The sequence below is a fragment of the Homo sapiens genome, chromosome 10, assembly GCF_000001405.40.
Source record: "Homo sapiens chromosome 10, GRCh38.p14 Primary Assembly".
NCBI classification, from domain to species: Eukaryota; Metazoa; Chordata; class Mammalia; order Primates; family Hominidae; genus Homo; species Homo sapiens.
In genome coordinates, this window is record NC_000010.11 from 70,050,130 (window position 1) to 70,072,826 (window position 22,697).

General features: G+C 43.5%; 1 protein-coding gene across 1 annotated transcript in view, besides 1 other annotated feature; it reads left to right on the forward strand.

Moving 5' to 3' along the window:
* The first annotated feature begins 2,716 nt into the window (after positions 1-2,716).
* The window catches only part of MACROH2A2 (macroH2A.2 histone), a 59,437-nt gene continuing 39,456 nt past the window's right edge, over positions 2,717-22,697 (forward strand). The window contains exon 1 of the mRNA NM_018649.3: positions 2,717-2,871. The gene's annotated coding sequence lies outside the window, so the exon portion shown is untranslated. The remainder of the gene's footprint in view (positions 2,872-22,697) is intronic.
* Positions 20,930-21,429: an enhancer, noted in NCBI's record as "H3K4me1 hESC enhancer chr10:71830815-71831314 (GRCh37/hg19 assembly coordinates)". NCBI's record gives its function as "activates a minimal SCP1, AML or CMV promoter by ChIP-STARR-seq in primed H9 embryonic stem cells {active_cell/tissue: H9 hESC(primed)}" and the evidence as "EXISTENCE:reporter gene assay evidence [ECO:0000049][PMID:30033119]".

Sequence of the window (22,697 nt, forward strand, 5' to 3'; positions counted from 1 at the left end):
TTAGGCTGTTTGCTGACTCCTTAGGGACATTTATTGGGAGGGGCCCAAGGGCCCCTCTTAGACTCAGATCATGTGACTGAGTGCAAAATTCCTTTGCTTAAAACAAATGCACTTCTCCACCTTCAGATTAAGGCAGTGATTAAGAGCATGGATCTGCCACTTCCTAACTCTATAACTGTGGGAAAGTTTCTCATCCACTCCCTGCCTCAGTCTGTAAAAAGGAGAAAATAGTGCTTGCCCCATACAAGTGTTGAAAGGATTAAATAAGTTAGGATAAAGTGCTTAGTACAGTGCACATAGTAAACATTCAATAAGTGTAAGCTCTTATCATTCTTTATTATTCAACTTGTCAGAGGTTCCCCGAGCTAGAGACCACTGCGGAACTCTAGATTACTTATCAACTTATGATCATGTTGACTTTTTAAAATGTATTTTAATTTTATATAATATTATATGATACTATCTCAGTGTTAAATTTTTATGTGTTAAATGTTCGGTATTAAACACACATAATTCAACTAGATCTGCATATTAAGTGGCATATTTGTCCCCTATACATCCTGAAAAGTTTGGAATTGGCGGAAACTGCATTGACTGGGTATCTGGACATGCATTGGAGGATCTCCCACTAATGTCCTGCGAGGCCATGGCTGAGTCATTTCACCCTTCCAAATACCAGATTTCTTCCTATAGCAAAGGTTTCCACTAGGTGAACTCTAAGAACCCTTTTATCCTAAGAATCAGAGTATTTTGAAGCTGACCTCTTCCTTGATTTTCTGAGTTGTGACAGCATCATCTGTCTGAAGAAACCAACCAGTATGAAATGGGAGAATCCTAACCAGTAAATTTACTAGATCCAGCCTCTCTCAGGATAGCACATAACAAAATGCTAGAATGAACTGTTATATAAAATTCACATAAAAATGACCACATATGCCACTTTTATTGGGAAATTACAAGGAGAATGTGAATCTAATATCTACTGATGAATTATTCAACTATATTTCAGTCAGCCTGGCTGACTGGATGACAGAGTATGAGTATTTTTCAAGCACTCATAGAAAACTCCTGAACTCTCTTGAATGTTGGCTTGATGGTTATTTCTGGTGAAGAATGGACACCTGAAGGTATAAGAAGAGAGACCCTTTCTTTAGGAATGGGAAAGGACATCATTATGGGATGCCCCAGGGGATCATTTGAAACCCTTTAAATATACATCTTGGGGAAAGAAGACTTTATCCTGACTGGATATCTGACCTGGAAAATACCTTCCAAGACAAAGAACAGTGAGGTCATACACAGAGGGCGTGAAAGGCTTAGGAAAAGAGTAAAGGAAGCCCCAAGAAACAGAGACTGTTGAGTCCAGGGGAGTTTGAGAAGCCATAGGAGACTGAAATAGAGGCTTATGCATATGTTGATGATATATGCGTGATTTGGAGGAAGTCAGAGAGAAACATGGCTGATTTCTCAGCAAATACACTTTAAAATGCACATGTTCTAAACCTAACCCGCTATCTATAAACGCCAGCAATAGCCATGATTAACTAACTAGTAGAGACGCAGAGGGTGGTAGGCATGAGTTCTTCCCACTCAGGCACTGGGAGGCTTTCAGTCACTCCAAAGTCCCCACTGCCTAAATAGTTACAAGTTTGTAGTAGCAAATATACACAATATTACCAAATGTAACAGCTTTAAAAATCAGCCATTTGGCCAAGGCTGGAGAATTCTGTTTGCACCGGTTTCTCTTTTTGGAAGGGATCAAAATGTTGCCTCTCACAGTCCTTTGACTGTAGGAGAAATCAGAGGAAACCTGGATGGTCCACAGCAAGTTAGTATTTCCCACTGAAATAAACACATTCTTTTGACTCCCCTCCAGCCATGGAGCCCTGGCCAACAACTCACAATACAAAGCCGAGACTGGCTTCCACTAGGAACACAGCAACTGCTAATCCCCATTATCACACCCGACAGTGTCCACCACACCCCCATAAAGATGCATTTTCTAGTAACTAATAAAAACTGGTCCTGAAGACAATAGCCTCGCGCTCATCTAAATACCCGTTGGGATATTGCAAATTAACACCTTGTAAAGCAACCCAATTAAAAATTATGCCCATACACACAGTCTCACCCACCAAAACATACATCTGCCTCTCCAAATATTATGCAACGCTGGATTCTAAATCGGTCTTAATTTCTAAAAAGCCTACAGGCACGGATATAAATTCTCAGCTCTCGTGGCTGTGGCCGCCCTATGCACTCTTCCCAGTGGTGGACACAAACGTTAATGTACTTGTTATTATTTAAGGACACAAAAATATAGAAGGTGGCATTTTTCGCTTTCCCCTTCGAAGACTCTCCCCAGAGCTGCCAGATGAACGCCCACGCCACCTTCTCCCACCAAAGGTGGATCCAGCTAACAGGAGACTGGATCGCGACCATAGCGCGTTTGTGCCCAGTTCTGGGGAAAGCCTCATGTTAGCGAGTGGCCCTCGGCTCGTCTCGCAGATCGGCCAAGTACGCGGAGGCCGCGCGGTTTCACCATTAATACTCCTGAAGGACAATAGCTCATCAAGCCCCACCGAAAGCCCCGGACCCGTCGCGGAGCCTGGGCTGGCGGGGGATGAGGCTGAGCAACTCCTCCTAGAGGTGGTTATGTGGAGAAGGAGCAATCCCTTCTCCCTCCTCCTCCTCCCCCCGCTACTATCCGCGGCCCAGAGAACTGCCGCTTGCCGCCATTGACACGCACAGATAGAACCCAAAGAAAGGCAAAGAGTCCTGCCCGGCACCGGCGCCGCGTGGGCCAAACCTGCGCCCGTGGAGGGGCGCGCAGAGGGCACCGGGCGCCGGGAGCAGGCGGCGCAGCACCAGGTGAGCCCGCCATGGCGATGGCATTATTGTTTAGGGTGCTCCGGGGTCTGGAAACAAAACGCGCCGCCGGGGCAGTGCAGGGGCCGGAGAGAACCACCTCTGCCTCTCCCCCGAGCCCCTGCGGGCGCACCCTCGATAGCCGACCCACCCTCTGCAAAAACAAATTCTTAAATCCAGCTGCCCAACTTGCTTCCTTGGGCGATAAAGGGGGGGCTGCTAAAGAAGTGGTCAAATTCCTGCGGCCAGCGAGGGGCCGGGGGCGTCGAGGGTACTGAGAGGGGAAGGAGGAGGGATGCGAGGTTCAGCAGCGGGCCCCAGGCGAGGCTGGACCCGGAGGAAGCGGAGGTCTCCTGGGAATGCGGAGTTTCGGGCGCAGGAGCGGGAGGACGGAGGCGCCCGGCCGCCGATGGGCACGGGGCGATGGGTGGGGGGCTGCGCAGGGCCCGAGGGAGCCCGGGGAGGGCCGCTCGGGGGCCTCTGAAGGTGCCCGGGCAGGGCGCCGGCGGCTCCAGGCTGACAATGGAGGGGGCGCGGAGCAGCCGGGCGGAGGTTAGGGACCCGAGTCCGGGGGCGGGCCGCGCCGGGGAAGGTCAGGTCGGGGACGCCGGGTGGCGGGGCGAGGGCTGGGGGTTGCTGCGCGGACACCCGGGCGCCGCGGGCGGGCGTGCGCCCCGGGGCCGGCGCGGAAGAGGGCGCGAGGCCGGGCACTCCCCTTCGGTTCCCTTTCCGGGGCGCCCGGTGCCGACGCGCGCTGCGCTTTCACCGGGAAATGGCGGCCCGGCCGTGGCTCGCCTGGGCAGTCTGGCTCCCGCTTTGCGCGGGAAAAAATAATAATAATAAAAATATCGAAAAAGGGAATAAAAGTAAACTGGCTGCGGCGCAGGAAAGGGCTCTGCCGGGCGCCGGACGCCGTGCGTATCGCTCGCGGGGCGCGGCGGTTGGGGACCAGCCCTGCCTCCCCCGGCTCCCAGCCTCCAGCCCCGGCGCACCTCAGCCCCAGCCCGGCCAGCCCCCCGGATCGCCCGTGGGTGTCCTCCCCCGCCTTTCCTTGGGGGGGCGCCCTCAGTTCTTGCCCTCTTTGTTCCTTACAACAATGGCCAAAGGGGCATTGGTTCCCCAAGGGCCAAACGAGCTTCCTCCAGGAGTTTCCCGTCGCGTGCAGTGGACCACCGTGGGCCTGACTGAGGCCTGGTCCTTGCCAGGGTTTTTTGGCAACGGCCCTGGATGAGTGAAGGGATGAAAGGCGCGAGAAGAAATGGGCTGAGAAACCAAAGTGCGGGGCCCTGAGTGTTTGAGGGGACGCGATGGGAACCGTGGCTCCGCTGCCCTGATTTTAAGGGCAGTTACCCTGTCACAGCCACGCTGGAACTGAGGTGTCCTTCCAGCTTCTGTCCACCTCAGAGGAATTCAAAACAAGGGCCCAGTTCTAAGCCCCACAGACCCCAGGATCCCCTAGGGGCCATTAGTCCACCGCGGCAAATGGTTTCCTCACTTTGCTCATTTGTGTTTGTTTTGAAATCCAATTGTCACCTCACTGGGCTGCACAGTTGCTACTGAAACGGTTCAATAGGTGAGAGAAAAAGAAAACATTATTAAGAGCGAGAACGTGTCTTCGTGTGTGTTGTTTTGAACCACAAACTAAGCTACACATAATTCTCAATCCGTTTTAACACACTTTTTATTTTCAAACTAAATGTTAAGAGCTCCAAGATTTGGAAACATACTGGTGATTTTTAGAATTGTTTTAGCCTAAAATTACATATAAATAAATAGAGGCACTGCCCGGCGGAAAAGTTTATCTTGAGTCGCATAATTCACATCTTCATAACCCCTCTTTCCTGTAGCCAAATTTCCTTTTAAAACATGCCCAGTTCTCCTCTTCTCTGGTTTTTCCTATCCTACCACAGTTACACCTCACCTGGATCCATTAATTGTCAGACTTTACACATTATTAGTGGTTTCCTCTATATCAAAACTGCGTAAAAGAATTTACCTCCTTGAATCCGGAGTGTCCCTGTGATTCTGACCCTACTCCCTCACCATTCCATCTTCTGTCTGGTTCCCAGGATTTTTAAAGCGCCTCTGGTCTGCCATTTCCCAGTGGGTGGGACACCCTGCTAGCTATTGTCTGAGACAACCACATCTGTTTTCACTGCCTCCTGCCAGCAGAACAGGAGGTGAGTCCTGTCTTAGGCAACTTTAAATGAAAGGTATCTGTAACTTGTTACCGGGGAGGGATGTGCAAAAATTCAGCCAACTTTCTTAAGAATGTTTTTCAACCTTAAGAAATAACCTCCAAGTTAGATGCAGTCTTGGTAAATGGAAAGTATATTGCACAGAGATTAACAAAGAACTTGTGGTTAGAGATCATTCAACAAACACTTATTGAGCACCAAGTCTTTTGTTGTTTGTTTTGTTGTTGTTTTGAGATGGGGGTCTCGCTATATTGCTCAGACTGGTCTCGAAATCCTGGGTTCAAGGGGTCCTCCCATCTCAGCCTCCTGAGTATACACCAATTCTTAAACACCTCTAGATAGGGAAAGAAATGAAATATAAGGAAGTCATTGGGCCCTTCTCTCATAAAGCTTACAACCCCAAGCCTAGGAGATAAAATATACATGCAGGTAAAACAAGGTAAAAAGTGATTTTGGCAAGCTAGTGGGAAAACAGGTACTTTCATATACTGCTGACTGGTGTGTAAATTGATATAACCAATTGGAAGAGCAGTTTGGCACTATAAAATTAATAATGCACACATTCTGTGACTCACCATTCCATTTCTCAGTATGTCACCCAAAGAAGCAGGCATCCGTGAGCTCAGCATGTATAAGGATGTTCATTGCAATTTTGGTCATTCTGAAGTAGAAAACAGCCTAACAGCCATCAACAGGGAATGGCTAAATAAACTCTGGTGCATCTGTCTTCTGGAATATTAGGCAGCAGTTCAAAAGAATGAAGCAGATCTATACATACTGAGACAGAAAAAGATCACCAAGATGTACTATTAATGAAAAAAGCAAATTGCAGAACAGTACATACTATATGGTACTATTGATATTAAAACGATATAAAATTATACATCTCTATAAGTAAAAATTCATACAAAATGGACAGAAAAAGTATAGAAGATGCCCACTAAGAGAGACAAGAACTAGAGGAATTGTCAAGAAGGGCTTTAGCCATATCATTATTGATACCCATCCATAACCTTGTTACAATATTTGAAGTTCTGTAATTTGTTTTTTTTGTTTGTTTTGTTTTGTTTTGTTGAGATGGAGTATCTCTTGTCCAGGCTGGAGTGCATTGGCACAATCTCAGCTCACTGCAACCTCCATCTCCTAGGCTCAAGTGATCCTCCTGCCTCAGCCTCCCTAGTAGCTGGGACTACAAGCTTGTGCCTCCCAAAGTGCTGGGATTACAGGCGTGTGCCACCATGCCCGGCCAAGTTCTGTAATTTGAATTAATGTATGTCTTGCTTGGATAACTAAATACAAGTAATAATTTTAAAGTGATTGATAATACATAATGATAATACATAATTAATACATAACGATATACACAAAAAATTTACTACAGTAGTTTGTAAAGGGAGAAGAGAGTTTTGGACTTGAAGGGAGGGTGTTGGGCTAGGCTTCATAGAGAACGTGGCAGGATTTGGATGAAGAAGGGTAAGGGAGCGAGGCAGGTGGAAGGAAGCTGGATGCAGATGCTGTGTTCCAGCTAGTCCTCATTCTTCAACATGATTATGAGATTCCCTTGCAAGGCTGAGAGTCCTGGCCTGGCCTACCCTGCCAAGGTTCAGGTTGAAGGATGAACTAAAAGAACCCTCACAATTTTTTTCATTGCCATTTAAGTCTGTGACTACCTTAAATTCTATATATAGAAGAAAGAGAAAAACGAGCCAGTAGAGAAGTATATGAGTTCCAATATAGTATTGGAAGATCATGTTTTTAAAAGGAGTGTAGTGAAATCTTGAAGATAGAATTTTTTTCCCCAATATACACTGGGATGTATATTGGGAATTAGGTTGGAGGGAAAGATAAGTGTTTGGGAGGATAATTCATTTCCCCCAAAAAATCACAAAAGAGACCTTTTGAAACAAAATATTTAAGGCTGGTTTCATTTATTCAAACACTAGTTGAAGGAATATTTATTGAATATCAACTGTGACCTAACACTATGCTAGGTGGCATCTGGGGGTAAAACATGCAATAGCATTTTGGAAGAACAGCCCAGTTGCAGCAGTTGAGGTAAGGGGGCTGGTTCTAGTTTGGTCTCACAGGCCATGGACAAGTCATTCAATGAGCACGTTCCCTTCCAAGCCATTCCTTTCATTGTAGCTACATTTGGGTGGGGGTGGGGAGTGGGAGAATGCTAAATGATTGATCACTCAAGTCCCTTTCAGTCTTAGATTATGATTTTGTGAAATCCTGTGATTTCCAACATTGCAATGACTATGAATTCAGGCAGATGGAATTTGGAGACTACAGGATTAGACCGAGGGGATCTGAAAGTGCCCAGCCTTGGGAAAAACAAAACTATTTGCTGTCATGAGGGTTCTCAGCAGATGATGTGGCTCTCAGGGTTTTCCTAGAGTTAAACTTTCATTATTACCCCTTTACACACATACAACCTCAAGTACCGTACTAATTGTAGCGGTTGGTTTTGAAATAGAGTGGACAAAGAGGCAGAAATATGCCCAAGAAAATGTCAGACTGCATTTCATGAAAATAGTTCTCTATAATGATTTCTTTTGTGGAAATAAATCACAGTAGTTAATGTTTATTAAATGTCTGCTACCTGCCAGGTACTGTTCAAGCACCTTACATGTATTAACCCATTTAATTCTGACAGCAGCCCTATAAGTAGGTACTATTACTACACCCATCACAGGAAAACGAAATGGTGGGGGGATGGTGAAGAACATGCCCCAAAGTCACCACACAAGGGACTCCAGGCCAGGCAGCATGACCCCAAAGCCCTACATCCTTATGCCCACGTGGTAAGAGCAAGGAGCTGGTAGCTTTCCGATGATTCTCAGATGATACTCAGCTTAATGTTTGTGTAGGCAAATTTTTATTTTCAAAACTTATTTGTCTCACTACTTTATCCAACTATGACAAATGAAAGAATATGAGACTGAGCCACAGAACTCTGTACTTTAAGCTGTCTTGTCACAAAGTATTAAATAAGATAAATTTGGTGGTTTCTCTGAAGCCCTTACTGTTCATTTATCCATCTCACCATCCATCATACTTTGCCCGATTTATTTGACTGGCATTGCCAATTTGGACTTGGAATGGAGTAAGTAATTCAAGTCAAAATTCTCATGCTTTGATAGAAATGTGTGTGGAAATATGCATAGACCACCAGTGTACAGACATTTACTCCAACTGATTCTGAGATGTCAGAAGGGTTAGATACACTGACCACATTTATTCACTCAAAGTTACAACACATGATCTGGCCAAAGATTTAGGGGTTGTTTCTGGATATGAAAGGCGGTCCTGATGATAAGAGTTTAGATGCCCAAATTTGGGATATTTCTATGACAACAGGATAAAAGCAGCACAAGATAAAATCAAACCTACCCTGGAACCCAGGCCCCATGCTGGCTGGGCTGGCACTGCCAATTTTATATATATATATATATACACACACACAGAATTTTGTAACTTGTATTTTGCGCTCCTGCCTTCACTGCTCAATAAGACCATTAAAATTAAATAGTGGTGGTGGACCACAAAAAGGCAAACCCCAATAGCTTATACAATATGCAACATAAACTTTTAGGTCAGGTGGTAATTCACTGGGTTGCTCATCCCGAGTGGTAAACTTCCAAATTGAGCTTTCTTGCAGAATTTCAATGAAGTGATCATTGACTTAAGTCCCCCGTCCCCCCACCACCCCGCCAACAACCCTATCACGACTAAACTGAATTTTCACCTCAGCTGTTCCATAGTAAACAATGTAGATTATTGTTTTGGGGTGAAGAAAAGGCAGTCCTAGATATAAAATCAAGCAGATTTTTTCAGGTCCAGTTTTTCTTTTCTGTGGTTATCCTGGGTGAAGAAATAGCAACTTCAAAGGACAGATCCTGTGAATGTGACTTATTTATCCTGGTTGCTCTATCTCTGTGAATGTAAGTGACAGGTGGGGCTCAGAGGGAGTCTGTTTTGAGCATCTTATAGGTTGGAGAGGACCTCAGAGGTGAGCTGGTGCAATGGTTCTCAGGTGGGGCTCCACAGAACCCAGTGCTCCTTGGAGGCCCAAGGCAGGAAAGGTGGCGACCAAGCTGTTGAAGTTCCCAGGCACTTGCCCACTCCAGCCAGGACAGCTCCCCTTGCATCTGTTTTATATATTAGAGTATAATTTCTTTTTTTTTTTTTTGAGACAGAGTCTCACTCTGTCACCCAGGCTGGAGTGCAGTGGCGTGGTCTTGGCTCACTGCAACCTCTGCCTCCTAGGTTCATGATTTTCCTGCCTCAACCTCCTAAGTAGCTGGGATTACAGACGTGCGCCACCACACCTGGCTAATTTTTGTGTTTTTAGTAGAGACAGAGTTTCACCATGTTGGCCAGGCTGGTCTCGAACTCCTGACCTCAAGTGATCCTCCCGCCTCGGCCTCCCAAAGTGTTGGGATTACAGGCGTGAGCCACCGCGCCTGGCCTCCTACAAATTTTTGTTCAAGCAAAAGGGGAACCCTACGAGGTCTACTGATTTGCCTACAGGCCACAGCTAGTCACAGCCAAACTGGAGGCTCCCTCCCCGTGGTCCACCGCACCTTCCATTCTACCACCTTGATGCCCCCTTGAACTTTGGCAGGTTTCACCCACAGAGGGGATGGTGTGGTGTGGCCAGTGGCTGGTTACACCCACAGAGAGGATGGTGTGGTGTGGTGTGGCCAGTGGTAGCCCTTAGCTGAAGCAGCTGATACAATGTGCCGGGGCCCAGGAGCTACAGGGGACCCACACGTGCATAACCAGGGAGCAACACTGCCTGTCAAGAGCACAGAACATAGAACTGCAGCAAAAGACCCAAGCCACTTGTCCCCACAGTGCAGCCACTGCCTGAGGACTGACAGCAGGGCCAGGTGCGGTGGTTCACGACTATAATCCCAGCAGTTTGGGAGGCTGAGGTGGGCGGATCACTTGAGGTCAGGAGTTGGAGACCAGTCTGGCCCACATGCTGAAAACCCATCTCTACTAAAAACACAAAAATTAGGGGGGCACAGTGGTGGGCGCCTATAATTCCAGCTATTTGGGAGGCTGAGGCAGGAGAATCTCCTGAACCAGGGAGGCAGAAGTTGCAGTGAGCCAAGATTGCACCACTGCACTCCAGCCTGGGCGACAGAGCCAGACTCTCTTAAAAAAAAAAGAAAGAAAAAGAAAAAAGGACAGACAGCAAGAAAAAATGGGTAGGGAGGTGCAGGCAGAGAAAGGGATGGAGGAAGAGGGGTTCCAGAGCAGTCTGTTGTTCTAGCTTTGAGAGCAGACAACTGGCCCCACTGATGAACTCAGTTGCTCAGCAAACATGGATGTCTCTGGAAGCCCCTGGTGGATCAGGCACACCAAGGCATACAGTCCACCTGCTGTCTGGTACTGGAACACTCACCCTAGCCCCTAACGGTGCGCCTGCACACCTCTACTCCCATTTGGGAATCTCATCTTGGCTCAGACAAAGCCAGTGCCCTGCTCAGAGAAGTAAAGAATGTGCTGCTTATAACAATAAACTGCATTACTAATTTGGATCTGTTAGATTTGCAGAAAACAAGATAGTTTAACCACTGTTATACTTGATAAAGAACTTATTTAAATTAAAAGAAAATCTTGGTCAAGCTGGTCTCAGTGGCTCATGCCTGTAATCTCAGCACTTTGGGAGGCTAAGTTGGGAGGACTATTTGAACTTAGGATGTCAAGGCCGCAGTGAGCTGATTGGGCCACTGCACTCCAGCCTGGGTGACAGAGACTCTGTCTAAAAAAAAAAAAAAGAAAAAAGAAATATTGGTTTAAAGAAACCAGACTACTTTGTCTTTTTATGAAGGCCATCAGCATGTTAAATAAAGTTTATCCTTTCTCCCCAAAAGCAATTCATTCAATAAGGGCATGTGCTAAGGGGTTTTTCTTTCTTTCCTCTCCTCCCTTCTGAGATCCCAGTATAATTTTAAATATTGTTTATGGAAATCCCACTGCTCCTATTTGTCAAGCCTCAAAGAACAAAAAGACAAGAAGAGACCAGGCTGGACCCAGTGAGGGTGTTTTTGTTTTGTTTTCTGTGGATGAATAGATTCAGGAAGGCAAACTGGTTCATTTTCTGGTTGGCTTTCTTTAGGAATGCATTGCTAACTCAGATTCAAAGAAAACTAAAATTATTTTCATTCATTTCTCATCCAAGTACCACAGGTGGCCAAACGTATTTATATTAGAAAATAGCATAAGGCCAATAATAAAGAAACAAGCTACATTATAGATCAACAACTTCTGCATTTCTCTTTTTTAAAATAACCACAGCTCAGGTTCAACAGAGACAACAAAACATGTTAAAATGTCTTAGTATCCTGCAGTAGCAGCAGATATCCTAAATCTACCCCTTAAATGCCCCTACCCCTTGTCCCCAGCTCCTCTAGAGTGACCACACATGCTCTGCCTCTGAATGACAAAGAATGTGCCGGCAGTTGAACTTCCCACTACACGACGTGACTTGAAATACTTTTTTAAAAGGGAATGATTTGTTATCCAATAGTATAATTTAAATAAATTGGATTAATGCTTGGTTCTAACATTCATGGTTGGTTAATTTGGTTAATTTGATCTGCGTGCCATTTTGATGAAATTGCATTTGATATAGCCCTTTACGTTATAAATTGTTAATGTGCTGTAACATATATGACGATAAAATTATTGACTATTCTCATTCACTTAAAGGTGGCCTTGAAAGAAAATGGTTTGGAAAGTATTATACTATAATGATTTGCCCTTGGAGTTCATAAATGGAAGTGTAATAGAGCCAGTGATTTAGCTCTTATTACTGAAAATGATTTTTACAGCTACAAAATAATGCTAACAAACTATTATTATTTTAATACAGTACTTAGGGTAACACACCAAAATACAGTCAAACTCTATTAGGTGGGAAGCTAAGATTTTTTTCATACCCTTTAAAATATATTTCAATGTATAGTTAATATATTTATATTGAATCCCCTCATTTCCTACCTAGTTTTGTTTTATTTCATCTCAATGTATTCTCCCAAAGGATTATTCTGAACTGACAAAGATGCTTCATTGCAGTGTCTCCATCACTTTTCATAATATTTGCAATATAAAATATTCTGAAGCACAATACCACAGATTAGGGAAATATCATAGAGGATAAAAATGAATAAATTGAATAAATTTCAGCAATTTTAAAACAGTACATGAGTCCATTAGGGATGACACTGTGAATTTCATGTTCATGAAAACAATGTTTAAAGTTTTTTTTAAATTTCAATTCCATCATTAAAAGCTCTAAGATCTCTTATTTCTAGATTTAAAATAATGTATGATGAAAGCATTTTGATTTGCATACTTCTGAAGAGAATGATCTCGAAAGAGTGCTTTAAAAATAAGCCGTCTCGTGAGTCTAGATCCTTTGTCAAGGTGATTCATCGGTGTGACCGAACCCCACCTGTGACACCCTGGCCTATAATTATAGCTCCCAATCCTCAAATTACTGACTGCTGTCTCTTTTTCAAAGCCTCGTTGTAGAAGCTTGACTGTAGAAAAAAATGGTCATTTAAGTCAGGATGCTGTTGTATGTTCTCACCCATAAGTGGAAGCTAAACTGTAAGGGTACAAAGGCATCAGAATGACATAATAGACTTTGGGTACTCAGGGGAAAGGTGGGAAGAGGGTGAGGGATAAAAGACTACAAATCAGGTTCAGTACACCAAAATCTCACAAATCACCACTGAAGAACTTACTCATGTAACCAAATACCACCAATAAAAAATTTAACAAAAACTAAATAAATAAATAAATAAATCAGGATGCTGGAGCTGTCTAATGGCCCACCTTGCTGGCTGGCAGAGGGTTTGTTGCAGCCCTCCACAGTTTACAAAAAAAAAAATTAAAATGTGGAAAAGTTGAGGTGTAAAATGTGGCTCAACGTATATCAGCTCCTTATACTTGATAAAGAAATTATTTGAATAAAAAGAAAATATTGGTCTAAAGAAACCGGACTATTTTGTCTTTTGATGAAGGCCATCAGGGTGTTAAATAAAGTTTCCTGTTTCTCACCAAAAGCAACTCATTCAATAAGGGCACATGCTAAGGGGTTTCCTTTCTTTCCTCTCCTCCCATCTGGGATCACAGTATAATTTTAAATATTGTTTATGGGAACCTCATATGCTGCAATTGTGCAAATACAGACACACTGAGTTTGATTCTATTCTATTCAGGAGGCTTTATCGTCTCTTGATGCAAAATTTTATATTCTTCAATTATCTCAAGACCGGTTAGTTTTCAGTGACTCACCTGGTGATGAATGTGATCTTAATTTTTTAACACGACATTATTACTCAATTATAAAACAGTTGAGCTGTTTCTCCTCAGCAGCATACTCATTTCTAGGCTGATCCACAAATGACGTTTGTTAAAATGTTAAAGTCAAATGACATTTTCAGTTTCCAGTTCAAAATGATGGACTGAGCACATGTGCTTTCCTTCAAACCCCTCCTCTCCAGAGCCACAGAAATAATGGTAAAGAAGTACAAATAAAATAAACAATAACAAAGGGGTAGGGGCTGGTGTGGTTAGTCAACAGCAGACGGGAGATTGCAAGAAATTTCCAGAAGACTGAAAGTACATAAGAACATATGCACGTCACAGGGGAAGCCACAACTGAGAGTAAAAGCAAGAGGGAACTGCGGCGAAGGTGGGGAGCGTGATAAGTGGGGACTCATTGAAGGCCTGTTTCCAGGACAGCTCGGTGAATTATCCTTTCTCCCTCCTTTACTACTAGAAGAGTTTCCAGCAATTTGGTGTTTAGCCCTTAAGCTAACAATCTGAGAGTTCTTCTCTAAAGCAATCAAACAACTACAAGAGGCTGGGCATGGTGGCTTATGCCTGTAATCCCAGTATTTTGGGAGGCCGAGGCAGGCAGATCACCTGAAGTCAGGAGTTCGAGACCAGCCTGTCTAACATGGTGAAACCCTGTCTCTACTAAAAATACAAAAATTAGCCAGGTGTGGTGGAAGGCTCCTGTAATCCCAGCTACTCAGGAAGCTGAGGCAGGGAGAATTGTTTGAACCCGGGGGACAGAGGTTGCAATGAGCCAAGATTGCGCCACTGCACTCCAACCTGGGTGACAGAACAAGACTCCATCTAAAAAAAGATTAAAAAACTACAAGGCACACGTAGAATTTCTAGGATAAATATCACACCACAAAATAAACCTCCCTGCTCATTCTGGCATTTGGGGGTTCTCAGTTCCTAACTGGACACCCTAAAGCCATGCCTGCTGATGTGGTTTGGCTGTGTCCTCATCCACATCTCAACTTGAATTGTGTCTCCCAGAATTCCCACATGTTGTGGGAGCGACTCAGGGGGAAGTAACTGAATCATGGGAGCTGGACTTTCCTGTGCTATTCTCCTGATAGTGAATAAGTCTCACGAGATCTGATGGGTTTATCAGGGGTTTCTGCTTTTCCTTCCTCCTCATTTTTTTCTTGCTGCTGCCATGTAAGAAGTGGTTTTTGCCTCCCGCCCTGATTCTGAGGCCTCCCCAGCTATGTGGAACTGTTAAGTCTAACGAAAACTCTTTTTGTTCCCAGTTTTGCATGTGTCTTTATCAGCAGTGTGAAAATGAACTAATACAACTAGTTCCTAACTGGACACCTAAAGCCATGCCTGCTAATTGAATGCATGCCCTGCACACACACCCGGAGATCCCAAACAGGAAGCATGCCCACCAACCAATGGTTGAAGAATTCAAGAAAGCTCTTCTATCTGCCTATAATCATCAATCTTGTCCTTCATTCTTTTTTTTTTTCTTTTTTTTTTTTGAGACAGAGTCTCACTTTCTCGCCCAGGCTGGAGTGCTTGAAAAAGGATCGTTGCAGTGGCAGGACCTTGGCTCACTGCAACCTCTACCTCCCAGGTTCAAGTGATTCTCCTGCCTCAGCCTCTCGAGTAGCTGGGATTACAGGTACAGCCTCTCTAGTAGCTGGGATTACAGGCACGCACCACCACGCTCAGCTAATTTTTGTATTTTTAGTAGAGGCAGGGTTTCACCATGTTGGCCAGGCTGGTCTCGAACTCCTGACCTTAAGTGATCTGCCCACCTCGGCCTCCCAAAGTGCTGGGATTATAAGCGTAAGCCACCGCGCCCGGCCTTGTCCTTCATTCTTAAATACAAACGCATAACCAAAGATCACCAGACATTTAAGAAAAGCCTACATGGAAGTGAAAGATGAAAATCAATCAATAAATAAATAGAACAACTGCCTGATAAAATAATTTAGAGGACAGAAGATAAATTTAACACATTCTAATTAGTTTCAGAGAGATTTGAAGACATGGTGCATTCATTAAAGTACAGGATGCTATAAAAAAGGAATAACCTGAGAACAAAAAGAGCTCTTGGAAATTAAAAATATGATTACCAAAATTAGATAAAGACTGAAGAAAAAATAGAAGAAAAAAGATAAGAGACTTGGACTATTAATCCAGGAGATCCAATACCTGGTTTACAGGAATCTCAGTAAGAGACAAAGAAAGGGGGTATTGGGAGAAATAAAGAAATTGGCAGTGGGTTGAGGGGGGAGGGATAATCAAAGACATAATAGAAAAAAAATCCATGTTATAAAAGTCTAAGTTTTCAGGTTGAACCAACTTATTGCCAAATGCTGAGCAGGGTTCAATGACTTCAAAATATTGAAGCAAAATGATTTTGACACTAAAAATGTTAATACTCTACTAAATGATAACCTAAAGATCGTTCAAGTAAGATAGTTCTGTTTCTGTAAGAAAACAAAGTTTAGGCCAGATGTGGTGGCTTATGCCTTTAATGCCAGCACTTTGGGAGGCTGAGATGGGAGGATCACTTGAAGCCAAGAGTTCACAGGCGGGGGGATCACTTGAGGCCAGGAGTTCAAGACCAGCCTGGGCAACATAGTGAGACCCCATCTCTACAAAAAAATCAGCTGGGTGTGGTGTACACCTATAGTCCTAGCTATTCAGGAGGCTGAGGTAGAGGATTGCTTGAGCCCAGGAGGTCAAAGCTGCAGTGAGCCGTGATTATACCACTGCACTCCAGCCTGGGTGACAGAGCAAGACTCTCAAAAAAAGAAAGAAAGAAAACAAAGTTTACTTCCCTGTCCTGTTTCTGAAGAGTTACATCAGGTGGATACCAACAAAACAAGGGAGAAAACCAAGAAAGAGGAAGTCATAGGGCCAAGGATGAACAGAGAAGATAGGTCCCAGAAAGACCAGTCCCAGGAAGACCGCTGGCTAAAACACTCCCATTCCAAACTGGAGCTGGAGGTCAGAGGGCTTTGAGAATAACCCCTCTGCAAACGGTTCTCTGGGAAAAACAGGGTCTCTACAAAGAACAATGTGATTGAGAAGCTGAGTGATTTTGAGGACATGGTAAAGGAACATCTTTTGTCAACACAGAAAAATATGGTCCACGTTCCTATTTGTGGATCCTATATTTGTGAATTTGCCTACATGCTAAAATGTGTTTGGAGCCCCCAAATCAATACTTGCGGCACTTTCATGGTCATTCTAAGACATGCACGTACACGGAGCAGCAAAACATCTTAGTCGCCACAAGCACACCTTCCCAGCTGAGACTGCTCCAGGTGACTGCCTTCTTGTTTCAGCTCACAATGCAATCAAGTGCCCTTTCCATGCCCTATTTAGTGCCATGTTTTTCATATGTTTGTGCTTTTTGTTGGTGATTTTGCTGTTTAGAATGGCCCCCAGGTGTAGTGCTGAAATGATGTCTAGCATTCCTAAGTGCAAGAAGGCCATGATGTGCAAGCTTCCTTCAGGCACGTGTTAACAGTGCTATTGGCCAGAAGCTCAATGTTAATGAGTCAACAATATCTATTAAACAAGGTGTCTTTGAACACAAACACACATAAAACAAAGTTAAGTATTGATTAGTTGATGAAATGTTGTGACCAGAGGCTTGTAGGAGCCTAACCATGTATTTCCCCTAAGCACAGTTTTTCAGTTTTTGCTAATTCTGTGTTTCTGACTACTTTATAGAACATAACTACCCCACATATTGAGAATCAACTATAGTTAATAACTTCAGGGTTAGAGAGGAGCTATACAAGAAAGACATGGTCCAAATGTGAAGCCACGGAAAACGTGGAATGCTTTTGAACATTAGGTTTTCAGAAAAAAACAATTCGTCTTGACATGAGGACTCAAGAATTCCGATGCTGGACCACAGAGAAGAAACTGTGATGCTAGCATCACACTTGATTCTGCAGAAAATATTTACAAATGTGATGAGCACTATACTCAGTTCTGCAGGGAACAATATTTAGAAAGTCTTAACCATGTAAATGGAGTTTAACTTTCAAAATAAATCTAGAGTCAAAATGTGAATGATTTTATTGTGATTATAGAATAAAATATATATGTTATGAACTAGGACAATAGCAAGTATAGAAGACAGAAGTAGAGCTTAGGGAGGTGATGTAGGGAGGAGAGGACCAGGGAAAGATTAGGGCGCTCATATCCTCCTCTCATATGATGATGACATGAGAGATAATCCCCAAAGTTGATGAAGTCAGAAACAGAGATTGGAGTGTACAGTATTACTTCAAGTTTCCAAGGCGATCAGTGGAGGAAATAAAACTGAAAAAATAACTGTCAACAATTGAAAAGGGAGGAGGAAGGTGGGTTAAGGCCTCATCCTTCTTTGGCACAGATAGAGACTGTCTAAAAATGAAAATAGATCAAGAAGTGGAGGTATAAGCATGAGAGTTTTGGAGGTAGCCACCAGAACTGAAATTAACCCTTGTTGCCTGTACTTGTCTCTCTCAATGAGACCAATGAGTGAGAAACTGTTGCTCTTCATTTTATACATTTTGATTCCTTTTTGCTTTTTTTTTTTACTATGTGCAAATATTCCTCAGATTTAAAGATAAACTCAAAATATTTAAATAATTTCTTTAACTTTCTTATTTTCCTTACTTTAGGGTAACCTTGAGCAAGTCAGAAGTATAGGTTTAAGCTTGTTGGTGGTGGGCCCTAGCATAGAAATTCCCTCACTTTCTCAGAGTTCTTAATGTCTCCAGCATGTTCTTGATACCACTAGGGCAGAGGAAATGCCTGCCTGTTCCATTTATGAAGTGTTGAGGCCCAAACAACTTAATAAGTATTCATGTTCTAACATCGTACTAGCCATATGGGAAAATAATACACATGAATTAAAAGGAAAAAGTATTCTTATTCTGTTCTTAAATAACCACAATGAATTACAAATAGGATGTGTACAGCTGTTGGGCACTGCACAGGTACCCAGACCTTGGAGTCAGATTGGACACTGCCACCCTCATTTTCTGTTCTGTATTGACTTTCACCCAACACTCGCTTTTAATCACAGCAACAGCCAAAAACCCAGCTTTGCAAGAAAAAAATGGCATCATCTAAAGGAACATAGTGCACCCTACTGTTGAAACTGAACCATCGGGAGCTGGTAGTGGTGGGGTCCCACAGAGGCCAACTATGGCTGTATTCAAGGGAAAGCTTAAACCTTCCTGCAGTGCTTCTGTGGGTTTGTTGATTGCCCCAGTGTACCCTGGTGCACAGTTTGGGAACCATGGCTCTGACATCTATTTGAAACTTCATTTTGGTCTGTCAGGCAACTTCATTGGAAAATATTGGAGGACAAGGGTCATATAAATTTAACAACATCTAATGTAGTTTCTTGTTCAATAATAAATGCTCCATAAATACTGTCTTAGATTGAATCTATGATGGTATCGATTGCAAGATGCATACCAACTTCTAGAGACAGTAAAATGTTAAAAAATAAAAGTGCATCATAAAATCAGTGAAATACGGTAGTTATTTGAATAGTCTGGTGTGAGTTTATTGCCCGTGTCTGAGTCAGTGCTGCAACTTCATATTTACCCGGTGTTATATATAAAATCTAACCTGTCGGTGTTGTTATGGGCTTAAAAGCCAAACCTAGAAATAAATTCTGAAACAACAGAGTCTGAATACGCCCTCTTCCCCAGCACACACAAGACCAACGATGTGCTTCCCGTTGCTGTGCTCCTGGGGGTTCGGGGGAACGAGCCAGGAGCCCTACATTCTCCCTCTTCCTCTCTGAGTCTGGAGTTTTACCTCCCTGTTTCTCACCGTTAACATTCTTGAAATGCTCTGATCCACTCTACGAGTAATTATAAGACTGTATACCTTGGTCTTTCTGCTATGAAAGGACAGGTACATTGCAGATTCAGGGTTTGTCTGGTTTCCTCTATAGCCCACGTGCATCTGGGAAAATGGGGCCACCTGAACAGAGCCACGTGGCCTCCAGGGATTGCCCACATGGTGTCTCTGAGGACACCAAGAGCTGCGTCCAGCCATATTCTCTCCAAACATGTAAACTTAGTGTATTGTAGTCCTTAAGCTTTGCCTAATCAGAGGGAAATTGTCTTAGAGCAGAAATTGTTTCCTTCAGGCTAATACTTAAATGTAAACATTTAATATTAGCCTGAAGAAAACAAATTTTCACCTTGCAATGGTTCTTTTTAGACAGTAGGCCTACACCGAGACTCCAATTACCAGGATGTGGATAAAAACCCATTCAAGTTTTTGACTCCTGACTTCCCAAGACGGAATAGAGTTGGAGGAAAGGGTGGCCCGGGAAAGAAGGAAGTTCAGGGTTATAATTTATCATAACTCCAGGCATAATCCAGCACAGGCTTTGGGGAGAGGTGGTCTTTAGAAAGCAGGGTCTTCTCTGGAGTGGCCCCAGAGGCTCAGCACTTCCTCCCGTCGGTGGGCTCTGGTAGATGTAACATGTCAGCTCCATAAGCCCCTCCTTGCTTCCCCTAGGGATTCCTGGATGTGCTCTAATTCTTACTGTCCGTGTCCAGGGACCTCACAGCCCTGAGTCCCCAGGAGGGCCTGGGAGATAGGTGCCTGGCTGCTTAAATTCCGCACAAGACCTGAAAAGATGGGTTTGGCAGGCATAGAGGACTCTCCAGTCCTGCTTAAAATACATGCATAAGTCAGTCCATCTCACACTTAGACTTCAGATGGAGCTGCATCCCCCACCCAGGGGGATTTCCTCTAAGGCCCTCACTTAGAGGGAAGTCTGGAAGCCACAGAGGGAAAAACTTATTATAAAGTACCATGTTCAGGATGATTCTTACATTTAGGTACTTTTTTACAATGTGCAGGTGGTATGTTTCTCTACTTGTTCCTACTTTGATTTTCCTTACTTGGCTATTTTATCTTCATGAGTGTTGAGTTTTGTTTGTTTGTTTGTTTTTGAGACGGAGTTTCGCTGTCGTTGCCCAGCAGGAGTGCAATGGTACAATCTCGGTTCACTGCAACCTCCTCCTCCTGGGTTCAAGTGATTCTTTTGCCTCAGCCTCCAGAGTAGCTGGAATTACAGGCACCCGCCACCACGCCCGGCTAATATTCTGTATTTTTAGTAGAGTCGGGGTTTCATCATGTTGCCCAGGCTCAAACTCCTGACCTCAGGTGATCCACCCACCTTAGCCTCCCAAAATGTAGGGATTACAGGCGTAAGCCACCACGCTTGGCCTCTTCCTGAGTGTTTTAGGCATCCGTCCCCTAAAGTCACTTGCTTTTCTTATACTCCTAGTCCTAAGTTCCAATTTTTAGGGCAGTTTGTGACTTCTCTTGGCAGCTAATAGTAGGAAAGTCCCTAAATGGCTTTATCCTGCACACCTAGTCATTCTCTGGCTGTTTTGAGGAAAGTGTGTGTGTGTGTGTGTGTGTCTGTGTGCATGTGCATGTGTGTGTGTGTGTGAGCGCGTGCATGTATGCGTGTGCACGTGCATGCGTGTGTGGGCGCGCGTGTGCATGTGCATGAGTGTGTGTGTGTGTGTGCGCGTGTGCACAGGGGGTGTCCCTGCCCTTGTGGTGTTTGTACTTCATGCAGCATTCTCTGGTGGAAGCATGGTAGGGAGAGATTAAGACCAGCCAGCACACACCATATTCACAGAGCACGTCCACCCTGTGATGGGCTTTTCAGGTGGTTTCTTGACAACCAGACTTAGTAATCATCCTCCAATCCCACTTACCATTAACTGAGAAAAGCACATAATTGGCTTAGGAGAGTCACTAATGCACCTTTATGAGCCTGTGTAGGCTCTTAAGTCTTTAGAACCGACTGCTTAAAGAGCCTAAGCTTCTCTACCAAAATCATTGAAAAGTGCCTTTCAGAAAAATCAGGATGTTTAAGAGCAGAACAACTGTAAGGATGTTAGCCACCTGCCCTGTTTTACAGAGAAGGCCACTGAGGTCCAAATAAATAACATATGAAGCTCACATAACTACAGTCATGCATCACTTAACGAAAGGGGTACGTTCTGAGAAATGCATCGTTAGGTGATTTTGTCATTGTGCAAACAGCATAGAGTGGACTTCACAAACCTAGATGGTACAGCCTCCTGTACACCTAGGCTATAATCCTATGATCTGTTGCTTCTGGGCTACAAACCTGCTCAACATCTTACCATACTGAATACTGCAGGCAATGGTGATGGTAAGTTTTTGTGTCTCTAAACTTAGAAAAGGACAGTAAAATACAGTATAAAATGTAAACAGCAGTACACATGTATAGGGCACTTGCCGTGAATAGAGCTTGCAGGACTAGAAGTACTCTGGGTGAGTGAGTGAGTGGTGAGTGAATGTGAAGGCCCGGGACATTATTGTACACTACTGTAGACTTTATACCGTACATGTTAGCTACACTACATTTAAAAGAGAATATTTTCCTTAATAATAAATTAACCTTACCCAATAATAAATTTTCCAATAAATTATCCAATAATAAATTAACCTTAGCTTACTGTAATTTTTTTTACTTTATAAACTTTTTAACCTTTTTAAACTTTTTGACTCTTTTGTAATAACACTTAGCTTAAAACACAAATACATTGCACAGCTACTACACATATTTTCCTTCTTTATAGCCTTACTCTATAAGCATTTTTCTTTTTTTATTTTATTATTATTATACTTTAAGTTTATAAGCATTTTTCTATTAAAATTTTTTTTAACTTTTTAAACTTCTGTTAAAAAAAATAAGACACATACACATTAGCCTAGGCCTACACAGAGTCAGGGTCATCAATAACACTGTCTTCCACCTTCACATCTTGTCCACTGGAAAGTCTTTAGGGACAATAACACGCACGGAGCTGTCATCTCCTGTAATAATAATGCCTCCTTCTGGAATACCTCCTGAAGGATCCATTTAAGGCTGGTTTACAGTTTACTTTGTTTTTAATAAGTAGAAGGAGTACCAGTAACATCGTCATTTGTTATCAAGTATTATATACTATACATAATTATATGTGCTAGACTTTTATATGACTGGCAGCACAGTAGGTTTGTTTACATCAGCATCACCACAAACACATGAGTAAGGCATTGTGCTACACCGTTAGGATGTCACTAGGTTGGCCAGGTGTGGTGGCTCACACCTGTAATCCCACCACTTTGGGAGGCTGAGGAAGATGGATCACTTGAGGTCAGGAGTTTGAGACCACCCTGGCCAACATGGTGAAACCTCGTCTCTACTAAAAATACAAAAATTAGCCAGGCATGGTGGTG